The sequence below is a fragment of the Homo sapiens genome, chromosome 7 (assembly GCF_000001405.40).
Source record: "Homo sapiens chromosome 7, GRCh38.p14 Primary Assembly".
NCBI lineage: Eukaryota > Metazoa > Chordata > Mammalia > Primates > Hominidae > Homo > Homo sapiens.
In genome coordinates, this window is record NC_000007.14 from 74173593 (window position 1) to 74198999 (window position 25407).

Genomic DNA, 25407 nt, shown 5'->3' on the forward strand with positions numbered 1-25407 from the left:
CGTGTAATTAATTCCCACTGCATAACCATGTTTTGTTATTGCTAGATGATGGAATCCACAACAGTATCCAATTCTTTTTCCAAGGCAACGACTTCTGCAAAAAACCGAGATGTGCAGTCTCTCTTGCTAAGTCACCGATCACCTATACTCTCTCCTCTCAAAACCCCCCAATACCCAGGCAGCGAGTAAGCCCTGGAAGGCAGGATTCGTGTCTGCATCCCACCGCCTCGCACCCCCTTCCGGGGCATCCTCATCGTGTGGCCAGCTCCTGCCTGGAGAAGGAGGTGGCCTTTACTTGGGTGTCACCCGGGGACCACTTGGGGGTCCAAGCGGGACAGGCCTCCGAGGTCCCCGCCATGTATGGAGGCCGAAAGGCAGCGTCCCAGGCGAACTGGAGAGGGAGTTCCCCCCAGCTCTCCAGGTCACCTCCCGCCGACGGACGGAAAGGCCGGCGCGCACGGGCGTGGTGCGGCGGGGATAGGAGGCAGCCACGGGCGCACCCCAGGGCCAGCACATAATGGGCCGCGTAGGCCGGGCAGGCGTCCAGCTGGGACGCCGCCGCACCACGTGGGCTGCAGAGCGCACGGGGCAGGCAGCTGCCGGTGGGCCCAGGGCCGGGCGCTGCGCGGCCAGCGTCCGTGCGTGCGTGCGCGCGCGCGCGTGCGCGTGCCTGCGTCCAAGGGATTTGCGATCAGGCGGCGCGGCGGACAGCCCCGGCGGCGGGGCGGGGGGAGTTATATTGCGGGGTCCTTCCTCGCTCACCCTGGTTCCTCTCGGAGCGGAGACGGCAAATGGCGGACTTCGACACCTACGACGATCGGGCCTACAGCAGCTTCGGCGGCGGCAGAGGGTGAGGCGGGCGTGCGCGGGCCCCGTCGGGGGCTGCGGGACCGGCGGAGTCGGGGCCGTCAGGGTGGCGGCCGTCCTGCGCTCAGCCGGGGCGGCGGGAGGCGGGGGCCCGCGGAGGCCTAGGAGCGGCGCCTGGAGGGCCGGGGCCTGGAAATGGCGCGCTCGGAGACGGGGCGGCGGCGGCTGGGCTCCCGGGGTCTTGCTTGCGGGGCGGATCCCTTCCACTGCCTCCCGCCAACGACAACGTGTTGGTTTTTGCCCTGCCTTGGCCGCGGCGGCGCCGATGCCCGGAGACGAGCGCCCGCTTCCAGCCCCATCCCCCCTACGGTAGGACCAGTGCGGGGCTGAGCTGTGGCGCTGGGGTACGGGCCACACGGCCTGCCCCGCTCCGGTCCCGGCCTCTTTCGCGGCCCTCTGTTGCCTGCCCGCCTTGCAGGCCCCTGGCCCCTTCGCCACGAGGCCGGCCGACTGGGGAAGGTCGGCAGCCAAGAGGGGCGATTCCCTTCCCCTTACGTGTGAGGCAGGGATTTGGCGGCTCTGGCCCGGGGATGGTACGACTCCTTGCGGGCGGGGGGAGACCAAGGAGATAAATCCATCGTAGCTTCTTTGTATTAATCTTTCTTGGGTCACAGTGCCTTGACAGGTGCTACGTGCTCTTTGGCACAATTTCATTTCTCCTTGGTTTCTCGCTCTGATCTGGAGAAGGAACCGCATTTAGCGTCGTCCTGATTGTTGTCAAATGCAGACAACTATGTATAATTGAAACACTTTGCTTAAAAGAAACATCTTTGAATAGAGAGCTCATGGTGTTTAATTCCAGGACTCTGCACTTTTTTTTATTTTATTTTTTAAATACAAGTTGCCTCGTTAGAATATAGGCTATGAACATCTTGCTGTTTGTCAAGGACACACTTGGGCTTTGTGTTTTCTTGCAGAAAGGATTACTTTCCCAGGATAACACCACAATAATACACACTGAGGTGTTCAGTCTCCTGGGTTGCAGTCCAAAAGTATCTTTGTTTGGTAAAGAATGATCACTTTTAATACCTTGGTTTGGGAACGGCTCAGACAAAAGCTTGTTTCGGGGCAGGAGTGTAGCTAATGTTCATGATACTGTAACGTGGAAGTGTGCCGGTGTAGGTGGAGCTATTGTCATTCCAAAGAACATTTTATTTGCTAATAAAAAAAGAAGTAAATGTTGGATGACATGAAATTATCGCCTTTGGGTTAGGTTTCTAAACATCAAATTTGTTCTCAAGTCATTTCGAAATTTAATAACTAGGGTTTTTTTTTTTTTCCTAGTTCCAAAAAACGTTCACAGAAGTACCCAGAAAAATTCTTCTTAAACAGCGTGGTCAATTTAAGTTTTAGTTGCATTGGGACTACAATAAGGTGACCTTATTAAACTGAGTGTGGGGATTTAAAAAAATTTCCTTCAGACACATTTGCCAGCTCTTCTGGTGTCAAATTTTGACATTTGGGGGTGCCAGGAACAATCAGAAGTAAAATTCTATTAAGATGCTATTAATTTCAAATCTCCACAGCAGATGAAAATATTAGCCATTTGCCCCAGGTGTACTCCAAAAACTGATAGGAGAGTTTCCTAGGTAGCACTGTGCATCACTTGAACTTCCTAATAGAAAGTCTCTTTACTGTTAAGCATCTTCTATGTCTCACTTACTTGGAATTTTCTATTTGGCTTCATATTAATGTGAAACTACATAAAGTATTGCTACTTTCAGAAGTAGTTTTAAAAACTTGTTGGTGAATTTACATATTCATTTATACATGTGTATTCTTTTTTTTTTTTTTTGAGATGGAGTTTCACTCTTGTTGCCCAAGCTGGAGTGCAATGGTGTGATCTCGGCTCACTGCAACCTCCACCTCCCGGGTTTAAGCGATTCTCCTGCCTCAGCCTCCCAAAGTGCTGGGATTACAGGCATTAGCCACCGCGCCCGGCCTCAATTATTTTAATTATGTCCACATGAACAAATGTCACTGCTTTACAATGCTTAAGCATCATAGAAGATTGCCACCTATGGAAAGCAGTTTTAACACTGCATTGTTTGGTACTTGTGTAGGCACCTTCTCCCTTGTCTAAAATGCCTCAGACAGGCTCGTACATCTCACCTCTGAATTACTTGGGTCACAGGTGAAAGAAATGGTAGGCCTAAAATGAACAGTTATCATCATAAAACATAGTTTGGTAGTTATACATCTTCCTAAGTTTATTTCGTAGTTGTGTTTAATAACCAGTGCAGTTGTCAGGAAACAGTATTGAACCACTGCTTTTTTCCCCCGAGCCTGTAAGGGCATGTCCCCAGCAGCCAGGGAGAGAACCAGGGACTGCATTGTTCAGCAAGCAAATCAAAACAAAATTCCAAATGATCAAGAGTTGATTGTACCAGATCTTGAATGGACTTTGTTTTGCAGTTTGCTAAATTATCTTTTTGAGGTTCCAGTTTCTCATCTACCATTGGCAGTAAAGTGCAGAGTAATACTGATTTTATATTTCTAATTGCAACAAAGCTATGAGTGCTTAGTGGAAAACCACCGATCCTGAGAATTAGGGTGGAAATTGGAGGTGGCAAGAATTGAGGTGGCTGAAATGGTGCCATCTAAAAACTGGCAAAACTCCAAATTTATTCTTTATCAGGATTCAGTTAGGGAGTTTAGAATTCTTTTTTAAATAGAGATGGGTTTCACTATGTTGCCCAGGCTGGTCTTGAACTCTTGGACTCAAGTGATCCTCCCGCCTCAGCCTCCCAAAGTGTTGGGATTACAGGCATGAGCTACCACGCCCAGCCTAGGAGTTTAGAATTCTAACCTTTGAATCTTTAAACTTAGCATGTCTGTCTAAATTTCTGAGCATATTTTTATCCAAAATTTTTATGGTGGTAAAATATACATAACATAAAATGTGCCACTTTACCCATTTTTCAGTATACATTTCAGGGATATTGAGTGTATTCGTAATGTATAACCATCACCACTATCCAGCTCCTTAACTCTTACAGCTTGTAAAACTAAAACCCTGTCCCCTTTGAATAGTAATTCCCTATTGCCCTCCTTCCCCCAGGTCCCTGGCAACCACCATTCTACTTCCTGTCTCTGAGCATATTTTAAGATTTGTATGTAATAGGAAGGAAAGCAGTGTATAAAAACTACAGCTAGTTTTCACTGATGCTAGGGCCTGTAAAGCTATTGAAAAGCTTATTTTAAAATGCTGTTTACATGTCAAATGTCAAGTCGTTTAGGTTTGTTATCCTTCTTCACTCCAAGTGTTCCATTGCTTAGTTCCAAACCATTATCCTCTATGAAAAGTGTTACCAGAAATATTTGGATTTGCTAAGAGGTCTCTGCATGACGGTTCATGTAAAAGCCCTGGCTTTGGAATAAGGCAGACCAGAGTTTCATCAGTTCAGCCATGTGTTAGTTGTGTGATCTGAAGTAAGTTTCTTCACCTCTCTGAGCCTCGTTTTCCCCACATATGAGTTAGAAACATGTATTTATTTATGAAATAGGCTCTCCTTCTGTCACCCAGGCTGGAGTGCAGTGGCAGGATCATAGCTCAGTGCAGCCTCGACTTCCCAGGCTCAAGCCATCCTCCCACCTCAGCCTCCCAAGTAGCTGGGATTACAGGGTGCGCCACCATGCCCAGCTAATTTTTGTATTTTTTTGTAGAGACAGAGTGTCTCTATGTTGCCCAGGCTAGTCTCAAACCCCTGGGCTCAAGGGATCTTCCTGCCTCAGCCTCCCAAGGCTCATTGTGTGAGCCACAGTACCCAGCCTTCAATTTATGTTTCTATTAGAAATTAAGCTTTGTGGCTGGGTGCAGTGGTTCATGCCTGTTATCCCAGCACTTTGGAAGGCCGAAGCAGGCGGATCACTTGTGGCCAGAAGTTTGAGACCACCCTGACCAACGTGGCAAAACCCCATGTCTACTAAAAATACAAAACGGGTGTGGCGGCACATACCTGTAATCCTAGCTACTTGGGAGGCTGAGGCAGGAGAATTGCTTGAACCAGGGAGGCGGAGGTTGCATTGAGCTGAGATCATGCCACTGCACTCCTCCAGCCTGGGCGACAGAGAGAGACTGTCTCCAAAAAAAAAAAAAGAAAAATTAAGCTTAGTGTTCTGGAAAGACTTCACAATTTTAAGGAGTCTCCCTGGAAGCTTAGAACGTACAAAGCAGACTCTGAATGTCTTTCCAGGATCACACTCTGGCTTCCAGCTTCCCCTGGAAGGTTCAGGAGAGTATTTGTCGCCTGGTTGCTTTTACATCATGCTGATTAGACCTGCACACCCGGGCATGAAATGAGTGTGATTGCATCATTTTCATAGAACCTAATGGCAGCTGTATGTACGTCTAAGACTTCTTTTGTGTAAGTCGAATGTTCTTCGAAGTTTCCCCACGTCATGATTTATGTGATTTTCCGTCTTGATCAGGACCTTCTGAAGGAGCTCAAGTATGTGGCTGCTCCACGGTTGATGAGTCTCTGGTTAAGCATGGCCTTCCAGTTCAGGGCTAGGGGGGCCGTCACCTCCCTTTGTTCTGCACATTCTTCTCCTGTCTTTCATGTATACTCACATTTTTGGAGCCTTCTGTGTACTCACATTTTTGGAGCCTTCTAAATGTCTGGCTTAATAGAACACAGCTGGATTCTCATACCTGCATCTGTCTCCACTCTTGGAATGTGTTGCTTTGGTTGACTTTTATGGAGCAGCTCAATCCTTGCACAGATAAATAGTTGGAAATGGGAGGAGTAATCAAATAATTCTGGATATTCATATTTGATTCTATACCAAAACTCAATAAGCAGTAGTTTCTATGAAGGTTAGTTGCAATGTGAAACCTAAAACCTTATCAATAAACTCTTCATACTTTTACATTAGAGTTCATCATTTGGCTGGGCGCGGTGGCTCACTCCTGTAACCCCAGGACTTTGGGAGGCCAAGGCGGGCGGATTACCTGAGGTCAGTAGTCTGAGACCAGCCTGGCTAACATGGCAAAGCCCCATCTCTACTAAAAACACAAAAACTAGCTGGGCATGGTGGTGGGCCCCTGTAGTCCCAGCTACTTGGGAGGCTGAAGCCATAGAATCACTTGAACCTGGGAGGTGGAGTTTGCAGTGAGCCCAGATTGCGCCACTGCACTCCCGCCTGGGCGACAGGGTGAGACTCTGTATCAAAAAAAAAAAAAAAAAGTCACTTTATCTTGTACTCCGACTGGATCCTTTACCAGTGCATACATTTGTAAGGTGTTGGTGATTTGGAAAGGACCTGTTCACTGAGCCAGGCAGAGCCATGCAGATGTTCCAGATGTTGGTACATTTTGTTATACAGTATCAAAGTCACATTCACCATAGCTGTTAGAAAAGTCTCTGAGTATTGAAAGACTGTCAGGCTTATGTTGATGGATACAGGTTTTCCGAAACTCTTTTTTGCTTGAAAGCTTAAATTTTACCATTGGCAACAAATACTGTTATTTTGGCCAGGTGCTGTGGCTCATGTCTGTAATCCCAACACTTTGGGAGGCCATGGCAGGAGGATCACTCTAGCCCAGTCTGGACAATATGTCCAGACCTGGTCTTTTCAAAAATAAAATTAGCTGGTGTGGTGGTATATGCCTATAGTCCCACCTACTTGGGAGGCTGAGGCTAGAGGATCACTTGAGTCCTGGAGATTGAGGCTGCAGTGAGCAGTGATTGCACCACAGCACTCAAATCTGGGCAACAGAGCAAGACCCTGTCTCAAAACAAAAAACCCAAATACTGTTCTTTTACTTCAAGGAACAGACTTAACTTCATTTTTAAAAAACTTAGTACCCATGTCTGAATTAACCATAGTTTGTTCTATAGAAAGAACAGCTAGTTCAGCTTGTAGCTCAAGTGCTTTTCCTGCAGCAGCCATCATGCTTGTGTATGCAGCAGAAGTGCTTTGCGTGTTTCATAACATAGGGTACTAAAAAGTGGGTCACGATTCATTTTTACTGCTTTACCAAGGATATTCCTAATTGAAGCTGTGATTTTTCTTCCTATTTTAAATACTTCAAGTGCATGGTGGGAAAGCATGAGTAATGTAGTTTGATGCCCCTGCCTTCGTTTGTATTAACACAAAGACCTGTTGTGAGATCAGTATAGGTCTTTGCTTTATAAATGTGGAATATTGTGAACCATTCTGGGAACCATATTTTAAGGCATCAGCACACTGGAGCCTATGAAGAAGAAGGTGATAGTGGGGATGGCCAGGCTCTGAAACTTCATCTTAGGAGGAAGGGCTGAGCAGCTTCAGTGAGGACCTTCGAAAGAAGCCTCAGCAGCAGTGATACAGCAGCTCTTAAGTCTCTGGGACTGCTGAGTGGAAGAAAGGTGTGGCCCTCCAGGCCAGAATAGGACCAAAGGATTACATCTTGGCCTTCTTCAGAGACTGCACAAATGTAAAGAACTGCTGCTTGAGCTAAATAATTGTTTTTTTAATAGAGACAGGGTCTCCCTTTGTTGCCTAAGCTGGTCTTGAACTAGCCTCAAGGGATACTCCTGCCTTGACCTCCTAAAGTGCTGGGATTGCAAGCATGAGCCACCACGCCCAGCCTCAACCATTTTTAAGTGTACAATTTAGTGGCATGGAGTACCTTCATAGTGTTGTGTAACCATTGCCACTATCTAGTTCCAGAACCTTTTCATAATCCAAACAGAAACTCTATACCCACTAAACAACTCCATTCCTTTCCCAGTTTTAACCTCATAAACATTTTGGCTATTTCTGTTACATCTATCTTCCCTACTTTTGGGTGGAGGTGTGGGCTAGGATAATTTAAGGCTAATCCTAGTCACCTATCCTTCTAAAATAGTTCTTATTTTTTTAAATTTTAATCCTCATCTTTGTGTTGGTAAATATTACATACTTTAGAGCAATTTTTGTTTCAATTTTTATGGCTACCGTAGTAGATGTATCTTATATATTCTTTCTTTGTTTTTTTTGTTTTTTGTTTTGTTTTGTTTTCTGAGGCAGAGTTTTACTCTTGTTGCCCAGGCTGGAATGCAGTGGCACTATCTCGGCTCACCACAACCTCCGCCTCCTGGGTTCAAGCGATTCTCCTGCCTCAGCCTCCCGAGTAGCTGGGATTACAGGCATGTGCCACCACACCTGGCAAATTTTGTATTTTTAGCAGAGATAGAGCAGAAACAGAGGGTTTCTACATGTTGGTCAGGCTGGTCTCGAACTCCCGACCTCAGGTAATCTGCCTGCCTCGGCCTCCCAAAGTGCTGGGATTACAGGTGTGAGCCACCGAGCCCGGCCTTTTTTTTTGAGATGGAGTCTCACTCTGCCTCCCAGGCTAGAGCTCAGTGGCGCGATCTCAGCTCACTGCAGCCTCCGCCACCACCCCTCAGCCTCCCGAGTAGCTGGGATTACAGGCACCTGCCACTGTGCCCAGCTGATTTTTGTACTGTTAGTAGAGATGGGGTTTCACCATGTTGGCCGGGTTGGTCTTGAACTCCTGACCTTGTGATTCATCCGCTTCAGCCTCCCAAAGTGCTGGGATTATAGGTGTGAGCCACCACACCCGGCCTCTTACATACTTTTCATACTTGAGTATGTTTCTAACAGATAAGGGCTTCTTTTTTTTCTTTAACCAACAGTTTTTCCAGTACCCAGTGTTCAGTTTTTCCCAGTTTTTGCAAAGATGACTTTGTATAGTTGGATTGTTTGAATATGCAAAACATTACAGAAAAATGTAGAAAATTTAGAACACGAACCAAAGCATAATATAGTGACCTGTATACCCATTACCTACTCTTTAAGTGACCACTCTTCTCTATACTACTATGGTTTATAATAGGTAGTATAAATGGTATTTATCAAAGGCTTGACCTTTGAAAGCTTAACCATTTTTGATGATTGTCAAAAACCCAAATGTTACCTGTTTGTAGATATGGGGTTTTGCCGTGTTCCCCACGCTGGTCTCAAACTCCTGAGCTCAAGTGATCTCCCCACCTTGGCCTCCCGAAGTGCCGGGATTGCAGGTGTGAGCCATGGCGTCCGGCCAGTCATTTTCTTTGGTTTACACTACTTTACCCTTCTGGGCCCTACTTTCCCCAAATGAGAGCTAGAAACTCCTCTGTTGGGAGGTTTAAATGAGATGTGTCTCATAATTTGGAGGCATAGTCTTGCCCTGTTGCCCAGGCTGGAGTGCAGTTGCACAATCACAGTCCCAAAGTGCTGGGACTACAGGCCGGAGCCACATGCCCATGCCCAGCCTTGAGCACTCAACTTTCTGTTGCATCTACTTACTGGATACATCCCTACCCTCATAACATCTACTCTGTACATTGGCTTCTTTTTATAGTTACCCTCTCTCAGTCTCCTTTGACACCTACAGATCTTTTCTGGCTCACCCTAAGGGTTCAGTATTGGCCCCATCTGCCATCTGGAAGTGGAGTCCCACTTCTGTTGCTCTCTGCTGTGCTGCATATCCTGGCTCCCAACTGCTCCACCCTGGTGAAACTGTTCTCATTGCTATCTTCCAGATTTTCTGCAGTCCTTTGCTTGTGACGTGATTTCTCCTTTCCAAATTATCAGCTCCTTGAGGGCAGAAACCGAGTCTTAGGTTTGTGCCTTCTCTACATTCTCTCCACCCTTCATAGACATGCAGATACGTGGTTGATTTGAGTAAGGAAAAGTGATTTGCCTGTCAAGGATTTTAGTCACACTTGGAGCCGAAAGTAGGGTTTCCTAAATTACTGAGGCTGTAATTGACTACTTTAATCTTTCATAATCAATAGACTGTCCCTAATGGGCAGTAGAAAGGACACTGCTCAGTAGTGGCAGGGAGTTTGCAGCACAGACCTTGACTTCAGGTGTCCTGAATTGGCACGCTCTGCTGATCTGTTCCTGTTCTACACGCACTCCTGCCAGCCCAGTGTAGCCTCAGGCCTGTTGGGTCTACCCAGGAGCATGGCAGAATTATATAGCACTTGGTACTTAGGAAATGTTTTTATGGTCAGTTTTAAACTTATAAAATCAAGATTGAAATATAACAGACAAGAAAACATAGGTACAGAGGTAATTTGGCAGAGGTCCTACATCAAGCTAGCTAAGGTGTCAAGTGAACCTGTTCTCCCATGTGTTGTTATTGATCTGTGTAGGAATGTACTGAATTTCACGAAACACAGCTTATTTATTTAGGTAGTAGTCCCCCAAACTTGAATCTAGTGAAAGGTGGCAGACATTTTAGCTCAGAGTTTTCTGACATTTGATTTTGTAAATGAATCGGTGGGTAACAGATCTGTGTCATCCTATGTGATGTGATGTGATGTCATCCTATGTGATGTGTACTCTGGGGTACTCACATCCTATGTGATGTGTCTCAAGTGACTGTCACACAGTGGACACTTTACCAGTGCTAGCTTGAATGAGGTCTACCTCCATGGCCCAGCCCTGCTGCCCCCTAGTGATTTCATTGAATGGGATGAAAAGGTAAAAAGTGCTTAAGACCTGTAGAAGGGACTACATCAGGTAGGGTATGGGAATATTTAGGACTACTTTGGTAATTATTGAAAAGTCTAGAGTATTAAGCCACTGGTGGTTTTGTGAGGCACGAGTGAGTTGAACAGTTTGGTGGGCTTTGGTGTATCTTTGCTCCAGAATTATATCACCAGTTAGCTGTTAGGTGCTGCCATTTGGTAACGTGCCAACTTTTCAAAAATGGTTTGCCCCAAACTAGATTTTTCTATCTTCTCCAAAGCCAGAGCCACCTTCCTGTCCTAGTGCATTTTTAGCAGTGCCCCGTCATCTTACTGGCATTCACCTGGGCTTCCTGTGCTCAATCAGGGGTCAAGTCTGGCCTGATCTCAGTTCCACAGTTCCTCTACTCTGTAAGTTCGAGCACAATTAGCAAGCCTTCGCACCTCCATTTTCCTTACTTAGCAACTACATCAAACACCCGAGAGTTTATCATCTCTCTTCATCCTCACCCTCCTTTTTAGTTTTTATGTATATGTTACACATTCATACACACAAACATACCTGCATATATACATGTGTTTTATACGTCCCACACAACTGTGAGCTGCTTACATACAAGACAGTCTTTTAACATCATTACGCATCACTAGATGTTTAATGTTGAGTAATGAATTTAAACTGTTTTTAACATTGACCCTCCATTTTTATGGTTTTCCACATGTTTATACTGTATCTTGTTTTTTGTTTGTTTGGTTTTGTTGTTGTTTTTTGTGCTTTTTTGTTTGTTTTTTGTGTTTTTTTGTTTTTGTTTTTTTGAGATGGAGTCTCGCTCTGTAGCCCAGGCTGAAGCGCAGTGACACAGTCTCAGCTCACTGCAAGCTCCACCTCAGCCTCTGAAGTAGCTGGGATTACAAGTGTGTGCTACCACACCTGGCTAGTTTTTGTATTTTTAGTAGAGACGGAGTTTTACCATGTTGGCCAGGCTGGTCTTGAACTTCTGGCCTCAAGTGATCCACCCACCTTGACCTCCCGAAGTGCTGGGATTACAGGTATGAGCCACTGTGCCCCGCCTTTTTGTTGTTGTTGTTGTTTCTTCAGTTGGAGACAGTCTCCTTCTGTCACCCAGGCTGGAGTGCAGTGGTGCCATCACAGTTCACTGCAGCAACAACCTCCTGGGCTCAGGTGATCCTCCCACCTCAGCCTCCCAGGTAGCTTGGGACTACAAGTGTGGACCATCACTCCCGGCTAATTTTTTGTATTTTTTATAGAGATGGGGTCTTACTGTGTTGCCCAGGCTGGTCTTGAACTCCTGGCTTTAAGTGATCCTCCCGCCTCAGCCTCCCAAACTGTTGGGATTACAGGCATGAGCCACTGGGCCCGGCTTTATACTGTAACTCATATATTTATTATCCCGTCCTAAATAGTATCTTACTGAAAATATTTTAGGATTTATGATTTCGGAGATATCAGCGATAGAGTACTATTGGCAAAGGTTATTGAAATGCAAAGTAAGTCACATTTACTAGGCCCGAAAAGATGGGAGAAGTGGGCAGGTAGGATGCAATTCACTTGTAAACCTATTTTCTGGTGGTCTTAGAACAGAACGTGGAACTTCCTATTGGAAAGTACCGGAATTGTGAATTATGAAACTTAAAAGCTTTTTTTTTTTTAACCATCAAAGAATCATCACAGCTTGGTTGACCCTTCTACTTTAGAAAAATGCTTTAATGAATAATATTTGTCTGCAAGACACCTGGAATTTATCTTCAGGAAGAAGTGGAATTTCCATTGTGTTTCTGGCAGTATGTAGATGAAAGACCAGGTTGCTCTCTAAGATGGATATTAATATTTCCCCTGCAAAGAGGGTGACTTTGGGCAGGTCTTGGGTTGTTGTGAAGGATCTCATTTATTTGAACGCATTTCCCGTTTAGAAAAAAAAACTGCAGTTGGCTGCCAGCACGGTATTCTTGGAGCAAACAGGAAATGGGTTAAATGTCTGTTTCAAAAAAAAATCACCCCCTTAATTTTTTTTTCCTCCTGAGTTTTCCAAACGTTTTATTTTGGAAATTTTCAAATCTACAATAAGGTTGAAATAATGGTACAGTTGGATGACGCTAGTGGATGCAGAAGTGACTATTCTGCCTTGTTTGCTGAATCCTTGCTGTATACCGGCACACATGCCCTTTATGCTGACCTGCTTGAAAACAAATGTTGGCCATCTTGGCACTTCACTTCTAACGACTTTAAGTCGTTCCTGGGGCATTCTTATGGCAAATATCGTTTAATATAATAATCTATTTATACTATATTCTGATGTCTTTTTTTTTTTTTTGAGATGGACTCTCGCTCTGTCGCCCAGGCTGGAGTGCAATGGGCTCACTACAACCTCCACCTCCTGGGTTCAAGCGATTCTCCTGCCTCAGCCTGCCCAGCAGCTGGGATTACAGGCATGCACCACCACACCAAGCTAATTTTGTATTTTTAGTAGAGACAGGGTTTTACCACATTGGTCAGGCTGATCTTGAACTCCTGACCTCAAGTGATCCACCCACCTCGGCCTCCCAAAATGCTGTATTAGGATTAACTCAGTTTTACAAATAAAATAAAGCTTAGAGAAGTTGAATAACTTCTCAAGGTCATATGCTAGTAAGTGACAGAGGCTAGATTTAAACCAATACCTATGCAGAGTAAACGACGCTTGATACAGCTGAGGAGATGACATCGAGGTTGAAATGGATTGGTAATGCACGCCATACGCATGTATTTGAGGACCCTGTGAAGTATTGCACGAGAGTGTTAGGTACGTCAGTACTTGCTGTGTGACATCTAAAATTTTTATTAGGACATTCTTATGCCCATAATCAGGCAACAAGGAGAAATTTTTTTTTTTTTTTTTTTTTTTTTTTTTTTTTTTTTTTTTTTTTTTTTTTTGAGACGGAGTCTCTGTCGCGTGAGCTGAAGTGCAGTGGTGCGATCTTGGCTCACTGCAGCCTCCGCTTCCCAGGTTCAAGCGGTAGGAGAAATAATTCTATTATGTATGAATGTGTTAAACGTAAACAACTTCAGTAATCCTTCTTCTGAATACAACATTACTTCTAGACTGTCCATTTCTGTATTTCTTAGAACCACGGTGTGTGAAGGAGGGTACTTGCTTAGGTTTTAGGATGTAAATACTGCAGATACAGATTCTGAGTGAATAGGAGAGAAGCAGTTGTCTTAGGAAGGTGTGTTACGTTTGGGCTGGGCATGGTGGCTCACACCTGTAATCCCAGCACTTTGGGAGGGTGAGGCAGGCAGACCACCTGAGGTCAGAAGTTGGAGACCAGCCTGGCCAACATGGTGAAACCCTGTTTCTACTAAAAATGCACAAATTAGCCAGGTGTGGTGGCACATGCCTGTAATCTCAGCATCCTTAGGAGGCTGAGACAGGAGAATCTCTTGAACCCGGGAAGCAGAGGTTCCAGTGAGCCAAGATTGTGCCACTGCACTCCAGCCTGGGTGACAGAGTGACAGTCTGTCTCAAAAAATTTTTCTTTTCCTTTTTTTTTGTTTCTCCAGCCATTCTCTGTAACAGTCTTGTGGTACATCGAGCAGAGTGCCTCACCTGGGGCGCTGGCGGCGTAGCTCAGCGGAAGACCGCTTTACTTGTTTTGCTTATTCCACTCTGGGCACACTTGAATCCTGTTTGTCTCCCCTCCTAGGTCCCGCGGCAGTGCTGGTGGCCATGGTTCCCGTAGCCAGAAGGAGTTGCCCACAGAGCCCCCCTACACAGCATACGTAGGAAATCTACCTTTCAATACGGTTCAGGGCGACATAGATGCTATCTTTAAGGATCTCAGCATAAGGAGTGTACGGCTAGTCAGAGACAAAGACACAGATAAATTTAAAGGTGAGTTTGGGGGATTCTTATTGTATATTACTGTAAAGTGTAGGGGAGGATGGGAAGGGGTTCTAAATAAAAATAGATTTGTGAACCAGAGGCTGTAATCAAGAAAGTGTTTTAAACATTTGCCTGGTCTAAGTGGCCGAAAGAAACATAACTCTTCAACTCATAGGTCTTCAGTTCACTTAGGGGAAAATGTTTTGTACACAGTGTAGTTCATAGAAATACATGGCATATGCCCAGGTTTGTGAGCCTGACCTCTACAGCAGTCCTGTCTGCCAGTAAAGGAGTTCCCCAGGAGAGAGAGGAATAGAGCCGAGGACTCTTAGGCACATTCCTCCTGGAATGACTCGTAGATTTTCCTTGGTAGTTAATCCAGTAATCATATGGTACTGTCATCCAGTAATCATAAAACCCAGAAGAGAAGCAGCCAGTGCTGTCAGTATGCATTTGTAAATTTGGAGAGTGTGCTTGGGAGGGCTGGCTGAGATTTCAGATATGGTGTCTATAGGTCGTGTGTCTGCAGGGTGCGGGAGCAAAGAGCAGGAAGAAGAAGGGATCCGAGCAGCATTCTCCTGCCTGCAGGGCTTCCTGAAGGAAGTGTGCCTGCTGTGTAAGTGCACGATGCTAGGACCCAGGATGTTTGGCCCGCATAATCCACCCAAAAGCACATCTGTGACAAGTATGGGGTAACTTGGGGCGGGGAGCTGTGCCAGCAGTCGAGAAGGCCTTGCTGACCTGGGTGGTTTTGTGTGTCGGTGGCACTCTTACTCTTTTTGACTTCAGAATCTGAAGCCACATGTAGTGTGTAATCAAACAGTGAAAACAAATATATCAGTTACACTTGTGAAGTAAGCTCCAGGAAGCATTAGGAACTAAACTTTGGGTTGGAGTGTGTGGGTGAGCCTAGCCTTTGGGCTGGGTCAGTCGCTGCAGGCTTTGGAGTTTGGCTCATGAAGGACCATCTTCATTTGAGCAGCTCTAGAAGATGAGATTGGGTGTCTGTTGCTTCTGTGAAGTTGGGGGTAGTTTTCTCCATTATTCTCAACATTGAATCCACTTAGGGAGGAAACCTGGGGGGACATCCCTCCAGCCAAGGCAGTATGTTCTTAACACACAGTTGGTAAACAGGGAAAGTTTGGACTCAGGCCTTTAGAGCACTTGCGGTCTAGTGGGCTTCAAAGATGAAGTGTGATTATTAAGTTATTATACACAGGGCAAGGACGCTGGGGGAGAGGGGATGCAGGGTGTAGTGCCAGCATCTGGGGAGTAATGAACTAGATTTAGACTCCAGACAGCAAGGAAGGGGCAATGTCAGACCCCTGGCATCAGGGACACAGGTTGTCAGTAACAGGTACTTGGACCCAGGCTGCCTGTCTTTTAATTAACATTCAGAGAAGAATGCCCTGATTGCCAAGGATATATTTTCAGCTTTGTGAAGCAAATTTTATGTCAGTTACCTGAGTAGTAAGTTAAATCGGCACTTTAAGCCTCTTTCTTCAGAGCATTTTAGGTACCAAGTTTGAAATCTACGAAATCTAATCCTCACTTAGATTAAATAGTCATTCAGAAGTCAGAAGAGCTCTGCAGATGGCCTGAGAAAGGTTTGAATATTATGGTTAAAACATTCAAGAAGAAAGCTTTCTAGAAACGCAGCTGCTATTTCAGTGCATGTTCAGTTAGCATTTTCTGACTGATAAAATAGAATTGAGAGGGAGGAATGCCAGTCAGGGTTCTATCTATTGAAAGGCTCTCCTAGTCTGCCATCATCTAGACAACAGAATGGTAGTTGTGACGTGGAGAAGTAGTATGAATAGGATCTTCCCACATCTTTAACCCAGAATTACTTGAGGAAATCGGGGTCTTCTTTTCTTTTCCAGGATTCTGCTATGTAGAATTCGATGAAGTGGATTCCCTTAAGGAAGCCTTGACATACGATGGTGCAGTAAGTATCCTCGGGTTTTCTCTGTCATAGCAGTTGAGATTGTTTTCTTTGCCAATACTTACACTATTTTCCCTTTATCATTAGCTGTTGGGCGATCGGTCACTTCGTGTGGACATTGCAGAAGGCAGAAAACAAGATAAAGGTGGCTTTGGATTCAGAAAAGGTGGACCAGATGACAGAGGTGATTGGTTCTTCTAAAGCTGAACATCATAAAGATTTGCAGTATGCCTACCAATTCCAACTCGTGAACGTTCCTAGTAGAACTCGATTATCTCATAGGTGTGATAGGTTCTCGTGAGCTCTTAAAAGTTTGCGTAAAATCCTAGAAAGAATGGCTGATGCTTCTGCAAGCCTGGCGTTTTTTGTTTTCTGTTGGAAGCAAAAGCTCTTAAAATGATTTCATTGAACCTTCCATCACTTGAGTTGTATGTCTTCCAAATGAATTTTTCCATGTTTGCGCAGCAAGGTAATGACACGACCTCAACTTTATCTTTTTTGTGTATCCTCAGGAATGGGTAGCTCTCGAGAATCTAGAGGTGGATGGGATTCCCGGGATGACTTCAATTCTGGTATCAGTATTTAAAGTATCACCACTTAATTTTTCCTAGGAGCCTTGCTGCTGTTCTCTGTTTCTTACGAGTAGCCCGCCTGGCCGGACTACTTATTTAGTTCCTTTAACAAATACAACTCTCCTGCAGGGTGCCCAGGCATGCAAGTAAGCCTCTGTTAGAGCCTGTGGGGGCAGGACTTGAGCCCCATGCACCTTGTGTGGTCACCTTTGTTAGCCTGCAGCTCCTTGGATGTGTACGGGCCTGGGTCCTTGAGCTCGCTCAGCAGTCTTTCTCAGACTCTAGCCCAGGGAAACTCCTCTGTGGTTTTGTGTATGGCACCAAGAGAAGTACTGTTCCTTCTGGAAAACATAGGATAGAGGTTTGGGTTCTTACATGGTGAAAGGTAGTCCTGATGGCCCTTTTTTTTCTTGGAGGATTGTGGGGAGGTCCAGTCCCTTGATGGTGGACCTGATGCACTTCGCCGTTCTCTTTCTTAGCCAACCCAGGCAGAGCAGCTGGTGGTATAGCACAAAGCATCAGTCCACACGCCAGGCCTCTGCCCTGCAGGGTGATTTTAAGCATTTTTATCATCTTTACTTTCTGTTTTTAAATTACAAAAGTATAATTTTTTATATATGCACATGATAAAAACTTCAGTTGTAACCCAGAAAGGTAGGAAGAGAAAAACAAATTTGTTTTCTTTCCCGCAAACTTGGGATGTGCTGTCAATGCTGTGCTGTATAGAACGTCAGCACCCTCCCCCCATCAAAACAAAACCGGTGTAAAGTAGTGGGTGAGTATGGGAGGGACTGGTGCACGCTGTCTTGTGAGTCTGAGATTTTTAAAAACTCAGCTTTGGCTGAACAGGTGACGACTACCTGTTGAATAATATAGTTCTTAAAAGTCCTGTAGCCAGTCAGAAATGAGCTTATTCATAAAAGTGCAGTATGGTGAAGTCAATCTGTAATTTTATGTATAAGCTAGTCTCTGATTGAAACATGCAGCAGCTGTCTTCTTAGAGCCAACCAGCAGCTCAGGGAACGGCCTTTCCCCTGCCAGTTTGGTATTCGCAGGTGTTATAGAAGTTGCCCACATACTAACGTCTTTCTACCCTTGGCTTAGCTTGGCCACTGGCGCTCAAGCAGAGACACAGTGAACACGGCCATGGCCTGGCCGCCACCAGTTCTGGTGGGAACTGCAGTGTTTTGGTGACATCTCAAACCCTATGTGGGCTCACTCGATGGAGTAATGGCTAATTTGATACTTTATACGTTATTTGCGAGAGTAGATCTTTTTTACTTTTTAATAGGATGGTGCTATTTTTTTTAATGATACCTGCTCATGTAAAAAACAAAATAGAGCAACAGAAAAGTACCAAGAAAGCAAAAACATTTCATCATCAGAAATAGCCAGTGTTAAACTAAGCTTTGTAAAGAAAACTCTGAAGATTCTCATGAATAGTTTGCTTCCTAGAAACCCACCAACAGATTTTTTGTTGTTGTTTTTTTTGAGACGGAGTCTTGCTCTGTTGCCCAGGCTGGAGTGCAGTGGTGCGATCTCGGCTCACTGCAAGCTCTGCCTCCTGGGTTCATGCCATTCTCCTGCCTCAGCCTCCCAAGTAGCTGGGACTACAGGCACCCACCACCACGCCCGGCTAATTTTTTGTATTTTTAGCAGAGACGGGGTTTCATCATGTTAGCCAGGATGGTCTCGATCTCCTGACCTCGTGATCCACCTGCCTCGGCCTCCCAAAGTGCTGGGATTACAGGCATGAGCCACCGCGCCCGGCCCCCACCAACAGATTTGATGAGAGATCCTTGTTCATCTGCTTCACCAGCGTGGTGTGAGCTATTTGTTTCACGCTAGACATTGGTGGTCGAAATCATTTAATCTCATAGTAAAGGGTGTAAATTTACTTTGTACTCACGTGGAAAGGTACACTTCACAGTTTAGTTTGGGGGAAACGTGAAGTTAAATGTTTTAATACTAACTAGGCTTGTTCACTGAACTGTGTAATGTGGGTAAAATACTTTGTAAAGGACCTTATACTCGACTGTATGCCTCCCAGTGTATTTCCCCTAAAGCAGTGCTCTTATTGGTCTAAATCTGTTCAGACTTGCTTTCATTACTTGGTTTGTTAAAATTTATTATTTAACTCAGTCTCTGAACTGGGTGTGAGATCCCTTGGTTTCCAAAACCCTTGCCACCTTTAAAGAATAGAAATCGGCCCCCACCACAGGTGATGCAGTCAGCGCTTATCATTGGAGGTGGTTCTGTGGAGTTGCTAGAACACTGAATGAGCCCGTGCGGTGCTGCTCCTGTGTGCTACAGATCACAACATTTTCGTCAGCTGATCATACCTAACATTGCTTTATGTGACTTTTTTTTTTTTCTTTTTTTTTTTTTTGAGACAGAGGCTCACTCTGTTGCCCAGGCTGGAGTGCAGTGGCATGATTTCGGTTCACTGCAATCTCCGCCTCCAGGGTTCAAGCGATTCTCCTGCCTCAGCCTCCCAAGTAGCTGGGATTACAGGCGCACACCACCACACCCAGCTAATTTTTATATTTTTAGTAGAGACGGGGTCTCTCCGTGTTGGTCAGGCTGGTCTCGAACTCCCAGCCTCAGGTGATCTGCCCACCTCTGCCTCCCAGAGTGCTGGGATTACAGGCGTGAGCCACCACACCCAGCCTATGTGACCTTGATTTTAAAGACGCCTCATTTAATGTTAGTGTTGATTCATTTAATAGTGTTAACATTGAACTCAGGGCCAGCTGTAGTAAGTAGTCTGTGGTGCCATCATTTCAGCCTGTTAGAAAGCTCATCCCACACCGGTTTTGTCTGTAAGACACCTGACAGCCAGCCTGCACTTAAGAACAGCAGACAGCACTTCACACTGCACCTGGGGCCACTTCAGACAGCGATGTCACCAGAAAAAGCCCAAAGGGCAAAACACCCGACACTCATCGTGAAAAGACTTGACAGCTAATAACTGAAACAGGCAGAGCATTATCGTTTTCTGCCTCAGCTGGGATCGTCGCATCTGTGCAGGTCCAGGACTGACTGGAGAAATGCTGCTGGTATCTAGCTTGGGATTACACATGAATTTTAGCGACTGGGTGGATTTGCAAATATGGGATCTGTGGATAATGAGGATGACTGTATAGTGCATACTGCGGGCTCTGGGGGTTCTTCTCAAAGACAAGCTCCCTGAAAGCTTGGAGCCTTGGCACCACTCTCGCAGAGAGTAGCAGTGGCACCCCCTGAGTGCGCAACCAACAGCAGCAAGCTCATTTGTTTAATTATGGTTTAACTTCTTTTCGCCAGTTTTTTTTTTTTTTCCTTGAGACAGAGTCTCACTTCATCACCCAGGCTGAAGTGTAATGGCACGATCTTGGCTCACTGCACCCTCTACCTTCCAGGTTCGAGCGATTATCCTGCCTCAGCCTCATGAGTAGCTGGAACCCCAGGCGTGCGCCACCATGCCCAGCTAATTTTTGTGTTTTTTGTAGAGAGTGAGTCTCACTGTGTTGCCCAGTCTGGTCCTGAACTCCTATACTCACCTCCCACCTCAGCCTCCCAAAGTGCTGGGATTACAGGCGTGAACCAGTCTTTTTACCAAATTTTAACATCAGTAGGTTATACAGTTAAAGTTTAGCTTTCACTGAAGTACAAGCCTGAAGGCCCCTTAAGACCATTGAGAAAATACTCTTTCCTCCTACACACCAGTGGGAATTCAGCATTTCTAAATGAGATGCAGTTTACTTCTGCCAAGAGCCCACTTAGCAGGCACACAAATGAATGGGGAAAGAACGCTTTGCCCCCACAGGAGGCGCCGGTGGGGGTGAGGCGCTGTGCTCTCTGCTCATGCCCCTCTGTGTAGGGCATGGCCAATTTCGGATAACTGCTTTGTTTACCACACAGGTGCTTTGCTTGTAGAATGGCCCACACCTAAAACGCAGCCAAAACAGGAAAATTGGGACTTTGTGTTTTTATTTTGTCTTCATATAGCGTTTTCTTGTGATTTTTGTGTTCTGAGTTGTAAATACTTCTAAATTTCAGGTTTATCTTTTAAAATAGCTGTATAGATTTCTATTAGAAAATAGAGTTCAACCTGCTTTGAGGCTTTCTTGTTTTGCTTAAGCCGTATTAAAATACAGTTTCGTGGTATTAATATTTTTCTACTTTTCATGCAAGCTGAGCATGTAAACAGCTCGTTTGTTTGCTCTCCTAAGATCTTGATTCCTTTTTCTTTGGGAAGTCTGTTAGCGCTGTCATTACTCCACACATTGGCATTTGGACCCACTTTTAACACACTTTATTTTGGAGAGACTTCAGATAGTGGACAAACTAAAGAATTTAAAATGAAACTCAAACAATTCCCAGAACATTATTCTATAAGCAGCTTGGAGACGATAGTTTGAAAAGTAATTCAGTGTCCTGTTTCTTCCTCAGGCTTCAGGGATGACTTCTTAGGGGGCAGGGGAGGTAGTCGCCCAGGCGACCGGCGAACAGGCCCCCCCATGGGCAGCCGCTTCAGAGATGGCCCTCCCCTCCGTGGATCCAACATGGATTTCAGAGAACCCACAGAAGGTACGGGCTCATGTGTCAGTGGAGGGCATCTTGTCCTGATGGGATGATCATGGCCGGTTCACACCCCGTGGGGACTTGGCGTTCTACGGCACACAGAGTTGTCGGCATAGATCCCCACGTTCTCTGGAATAGCAAGTTCACCTTGGTCATTAGAGCATCTGCTGTTGGGGTAGCAGGCCAGGTGAATTTTAGAAAGTGGGCTGGTTTGCTGACAGCAACATCAGCATGGTCGTTTTGCTGGATATGGAATGGGATCCACACTCTGACAAACTCTGCTTTTTCTCCCCCAGAGGAAAGAGCACAGAGACCACGACTCCAGCTTAAACCTCGAACAGTCGCGACGCCCCTCAATCAAGTAGCCAATCCCAACTCTGCTATCTTCGGGGGTGCCAGGCCTAGAGAGGAAGTCGTTCAAAAGGAGCAAGAATGAGCCTGCGGTTGGGAGGGAATGGGGCGTGGGGGGTTAGAGCAGGACCACAGCCTGGTGAGTCCCCGGGCAGCCGTCCTGCAGCCGCCACTCCTGCGCCTGCCATTGGCCTCCTCACAGCGGAAACACAGCTTGTGAGTGCATGTCAGCTGTTAACAAGTGGTTTTTAGTACATTCTGGGCTTTGCTGTATCTATCTAGTGCCTGTTTGTGCGTTTTTTTCTTTCTTCCGCTGCTTCCCCATTTTCCTTCTGTCCTTTTTCTCCTGCTCCTTGTTTTCCCAGCAGCACATGGGGTTCCTCGGAGGAGCAGAGGTGGCCGCCGTGGGGGGGCGTTTGGGCTGCGGTGCTGCGTCATTTTTCCTTTGCTTTCTCTTTACTTTAGACACTGGCCCAACTCCAGGCGTTTCCTTTCATTCCCTCAGTGCTTCTCTTCTGACCTGCATGTTGAGTTCTGTATTGCTGGGGCTTCCAACAAAAACCAGAGTCACTGACAGAGGGAACAGCAGAGACCTTGTTGGTATTCAGCTGTGATGGATATAGAGAATCAGAGGCACCTTGTTTTCACAACTAGGATAAAAATATCTGCAGGGTCCTTTCCATTCCTATTTAGAGGGAGTCCTGGCTCCATGACCCCCTCCCGAGTGGACTGTCCAAGCAGATAGGCTCACACGAGAAACAGTGAGGCTGAAAGGGGGGGCTATGGAAGAGCGGTAGGGAGTCCACGGAGAAGATGCAGTGAATGCTTGCATGCATTCACACGTGTGTGTGTCCCAGCTAGTTCACTCCTTTCGCCGTGCGTGGTGGAGGCTGGCCTCTCTGGCTGGGTGCAGTGAATGGCCAGCGGGTTTCTTTTCTGCTGGGCCAAGGCGCTTTGGGGGTGGAGGGGGTGGTGCTGGTGCTGCACTGGGCTGACTGCGGCGCTGACGCAGCGTTTCCCCCCATCCCTGTTGCCTGTGTGTTGTGTGGATCTGTTCCTAGTATAGGCAACATAATGAGATACTGTGCTTCCCACCTCCCCTTCAGTTCAGAGCCAAAATGGGTCTAGAATCTGGCACTTTACTCATTTCCTTTGATAAATTGTACTATGCAGAGCTGTCAGGAACCTTCAGATAGCAGTAGAGGACTGCAGCTGTCTAGGTCTGCGGCCACATCTTGGGGACACACTGGACTGTTCCCATGTGCAGGGTTCAGCAGTTATGTGGGAGTGCTAGGGGTTAGGCTTTTGAGCTTGAACGCCTGCGTGTGAACAGATGAAAAATCCTTCAGTACCCAAGTCCCAGTCTGTCCTATGGGGAGCAGTTTGGGGGCGGCCGGCAGCAGGAGCCTGGGAAAGAGGCCCTCGCCAGGTGATGGCAGGGCCAGGGTGGCCTGGGGCACCCAGCGGAATGTGCTTAGTATTTGGTCACCAGCCGTCATCCTGGGCTTTTCCTACTGTGTCTTGTTACAAGGCCTCAGCAATCCACAGAACTCTCTCTCCTTCCTTCCACCTGTCAGCTTCTCTGCTTCTGAGATAAGAACCATTTGTGTAACACCAACACTTAACTTCAGAAAGACATGCATTATGTGGTGTAATCAAACCCGATGCTTTCAGATGACCTACTTACATCTTCAATGTGGATAAGATAAAGAACAAAACACATGCATCTAAACTGCTGGGCAATCCAGTTGACTTTTAAATGTAAGAATGGAATTCCAAACACTTAACACATTCAGCTATATGACAGAAAGTAAATCTATGGATATGGTATTTTGTGAATGATCTTTTAAATAAAAGAAAACCTTACGTAATATTTAATGCTTGCCTTTATTTTTGAGTTCTTTTTAGCTGCTCATGGAATGTAACAATTTTAAATTTGGGAAGCACCATTGAAATGGAAGAGTCTTCCTGTCATTTTAATTCTGGGATGAGTGAAGTTATTTTAAAAGCTGGTGATGATTAGAAATAGGATGCCAATTTTTTCCCCTCACTTGCTAAAAATGTCCTTTTCCCAACCAGGCAGAAACCTTGAAAGTCTGGCTGTTTTTGGTTAGGTAAAGGAACATTTTTTTCCCAAGATGGAAGAAATCAAGCATTTACACAACATGTGGCTTCTTTTAACAACTGCTTGTAAACGAAATTCTAGGTGCCCCTCATGGCTGGGAGGGCTGCTGCTTCCTGACAGCAGATCCTGACTCTGGGGAGGTGCTGCTATAGGTTGGTATTGGATAGTGTTAAAATTGACTTAGGCAGACAAAGAAGAGCTGAGTGGGCAAGGTGCGGGGCATGAATGCGTGTTTGGCAAAGTCCTGGCTGACTTTGGAAGGGCCTGGCCAAGGCAGACCTTGCCTACCTTGAGGTAGGAGCATTGTCTGGTGATGGAGGACCCCGGACCACGACTAAATTTTAGTAAGGCAGGCAAGGGCTGTTCAGGTGGGAGCCTAGAGTAACTCTTTTGCTTCAACTACTTTCTACCCAAGAGTAGGTGGTAGAGAGGACCGGTGTTTCAGAGACAGGGTCTCCCTCTGTCACCCAGACAGGAGTGCAGTGGCGTGATCTCGGCTCACTGCAGCCTCCGCCTCACGGGTTCAAATGATCCTCTTGTCAGCCTCCCAAGTATCAGGGACTACAGGCACCCACCACCATGCCTAGCTAATTTTTGTATAGTAGAGATGGGGTTTCACCATGTTGACTAGGCTGGTCTCAAACTCCTGACCTCAAGTGATCCACCCACCTCAGTCTCCCAAATTGCTGGGATTATAGGCACAAGCCACCATGCCTGGCCCTGACATCTATTTTTAGTTGGTGATTTCTAGGGAATAGCCTGGTTTTCTCAATGAAGGACATTACTTAACAGAGATTAAGTCTAGAACAAGAAGAGCTGATTAACCTAGAACACGGGTTGACCTTGCCTTTAGGGTGGTGAAACGGCCTAAAACCTGAAGGAAGACTTCCCAGGGAGCTGGTCACTGGGGCCAGGCTCACTGGGCTTCTCTGAAGTCAGACCCTGGCCACATCTGGATGTTTTGTTTTTTTGGTTTTTGTTTTTTTTTTTTTTTTTTTTTTTTTTGGTGAGATGGAGATTTACTCTTGTTGCCCAGGCTGGAATGCAATGGCACGATCTCGGCTTACTGTATCCTCCACCTCCCAGGTTCAAGCGATTCTCCTGCCTCAGCCTCCTGAGTAGCTGTGATTATAGGCATGGGCCACCACGCGCGGCTAATTTTGCATTTTTAGTAGAGACAGGTTTTCACCGTGTTGCCCAGGCTGATCTCGAACTCCTGACCTCAGGTAATCCACCTGCCTCTGCCTCCCAAAGTGCTGGGATTACAGGCATGAGCCACTGCGCCTGGCTGGATGTTTTAAGATTTTATTTTATTTTGTATTTATTTTTCTTTGAGACAGAGTCATGCTCTGCCACCCAGGGTGGAGTGCAATGGTGTAATCTCAGCTCACTGCAACCTCCGCCTCTTGGGTTCCAGCGATCCTCCCACCTCAGCCTCCCTAGTAGCAGGGATTATAGGCACATGCCACCACGCCCAGCTAATTTTTGTGTTTTTAGTAGAGATGGGGTTTCACCATGTTGGGCAGGCTGGTCTCAAACTCCTGACCTCAGGTGGATCCACCCACCTTGGCCTCCAAAGGGCTGGGATTACAGGCGTGAGCCACTGCACCTGGCCTATTTCAATTTTTGTAGAGGTTTCACCATGTTGCCC

At 46.1% G+C, this 25407-nt stretch overlaps 1 protein-coding gene and 1 non-coding gene across 3 annotated transcripts, besides 8 other annotated features; both read left to right on the forward strand.

The window, feature by feature from the left end:
• Positions 515-1024: a silencer, noted in NCBI's record as "silent region_18273". NCBI's record gives its function as "represses an Ori minimal core promoter by ATAC-STARR-seq in GM12878 lymphoblastoid cells {active_cell/tissue: GM12878}" and the evidence as "EXISTENCE:reporter gene assay evidence [ECO:0000049][PMID:35858748]".
• Positions 515-1316: a biological region, named in NCBI's record as "NANOG-H3K27ac-H3K4me1 hESC enhancer GRCh37_chr7:73588725-73589238".
• Positions 527-821: an enhancer, noted in NCBI's record as "tiled region #11846; HepG2 Activating DNase unmatched - State 1:Tss, and K562 Activating DNase matched - State 1:Tss". NCBI's record gives its function as "activates a minimal TATA promoter and a strong SV40 promoter by Sharpr-MPRA in HepG2 and K562 cells {active_cell/tissue: HepG2 | K562}" and the evidence as "EXISTENCE:reporter gene assay evidence [ECO:0000049][PMID:27701403]".
• On the forward strand, positions 764-23504 carry EIF4H (eukaryotic translation initiation factor 4H). Of its 2 annotated transcripts, NM_022170.2 has the most exons (7): positions 764-850; positions 14019-14206; positions 16081-16145; positions 16230-16326; positions 16655-16714; positions 21149-21286; positions 21577-23504. In NM_022170.2, exons 1-7 carry the CDS (start codon positions 792-794, stop codon positions 21714-21716), a joined length of 747 nt encoding a protein of 248 aa, NP_071496.1. In that variant the 5' UTR covers positions 764-791; the 3' UTR covers positions 21717-23504. The 2 variants fall into 2 exon arrangements, with proteins under 2 accessions (NP_071496.1, NP_114381.1); NM_031992.2 differs by lacking the exon at positions 16655-16714.
• Positions 803-1316: an enhancer, noted in NCBI's record as "NANOG-H3K27ac-H3K4me1 hESC enhancer chr7:73588725-73589238 (GRCh37/hg19 assembly coordinates)". NCBI's record gives its function as "activates a minimal SCP1, AML or CMV promoter by ChIP-STARR-seq in primed H9 embryonic stem cells {active_cell/tissue: H9 hESC(primed)}" and the evidence as "EXISTENCE:reporter gene assay evidence [ECO:0000049][PMID:30033119]".
• Positions 1317-1829: an enhancer, noted in NCBI's record as "NANOG-H3K27ac-H3K4me1 hESC enhancer chr7:73589239-73589751 (GRCh37/hg19 assembly coordinates)". NCBI's record gives its function as "activates a minimal SCP1, AML or CMV promoter by ChIP-STARR-seq in primed H9 embryonic stem cells {active_cell/tissue: H9 hESC(primed)}" and the evidence as "EXISTENCE:reporter gene assay evidence [ECO:0000049][PMID:30033119]".
• Positions 5856-6356: an enhancer, noted in NCBI's record as "H3K4me1 hESC enhancer chr7:73593778-73594278 (GRCh37/hg19 assembly coordinates)". NCBI's record gives its function as "activates a minimal SCP1, AML or CMV promoter by ChIP-STARR-seq in primed H9 embryonic stem cells {active_cell/tissue: H9 hESC(primed)}" and the evidence as "EXISTENCE:reporter gene assay evidence [ECO:0000049][PMID:30033119]".
• Positions 6357-6857: an enhancer, noted in NCBI's record as "H3K4me1 hESC enhancer chr7:73594279-73594779 (GRCh37/hg19 assembly coordinates)". NCBI's record gives its function as "activates a minimal SCP1, AML or CMV promoter by ChIP-STARR-seq in primed H9 embryonic stem cells {active_cell/tissue: H9 hESC(primed)}" and the evidence as "EXISTENCE:reporter gene assay evidence [ECO:0000049][PMID:30033119]".
• Positions 17606-17702, forward strand: MIR590 (microRNA 590). Its single transcript, NR_030321.1, has one exon. It is a non-coding gene; the product is annotated as a microRNA 590 (primary transcript).
• Positions 22547-23048: an enhancer, noted in NCBI's record as "H3K4me1 hESC enhancer chr7:73610469-73610970 (GRCh37/hg19 assembly coordinates)". NCBI's record gives its function as "activates a minimal SCP1, AML or CMV promoter by ChIP-STARR-seq in naive H9 embryonic stem cells {active_cell/tissue: H9 hESC(naive)}" and the evidence as "EXISTENCE:reporter gene assay evidence [ECO:0000049][PMID:30033119]".

What these genes read in the sequence shown, in the direction of transcription:
- EIF4H (NM_022170.2), top strand. Translation starts at nt 792, where the DNA reads ATGGCGGACTTCGACACCTACGACGATCGGGCCTACAGCAGCTTCGGC. An exon ending in AGGTGGACCAGATGACAGAG is followed by an intron (nt 16,327 to 16,654) that starts GTGATTGGTTCT and finishes GTGTATCCTCAG; the next exon opens with GAATGGGTAGCTCTCGAGAA. An exon ending in CCGGGATGACTTCAATTCTG is followed by an intron (nt 16,715 to 21,148) that starts GTATCAGTATTT and finishes TTTCTTCCTCAG; the next exon opens with GCTTCAGGGATGACTTCTTA.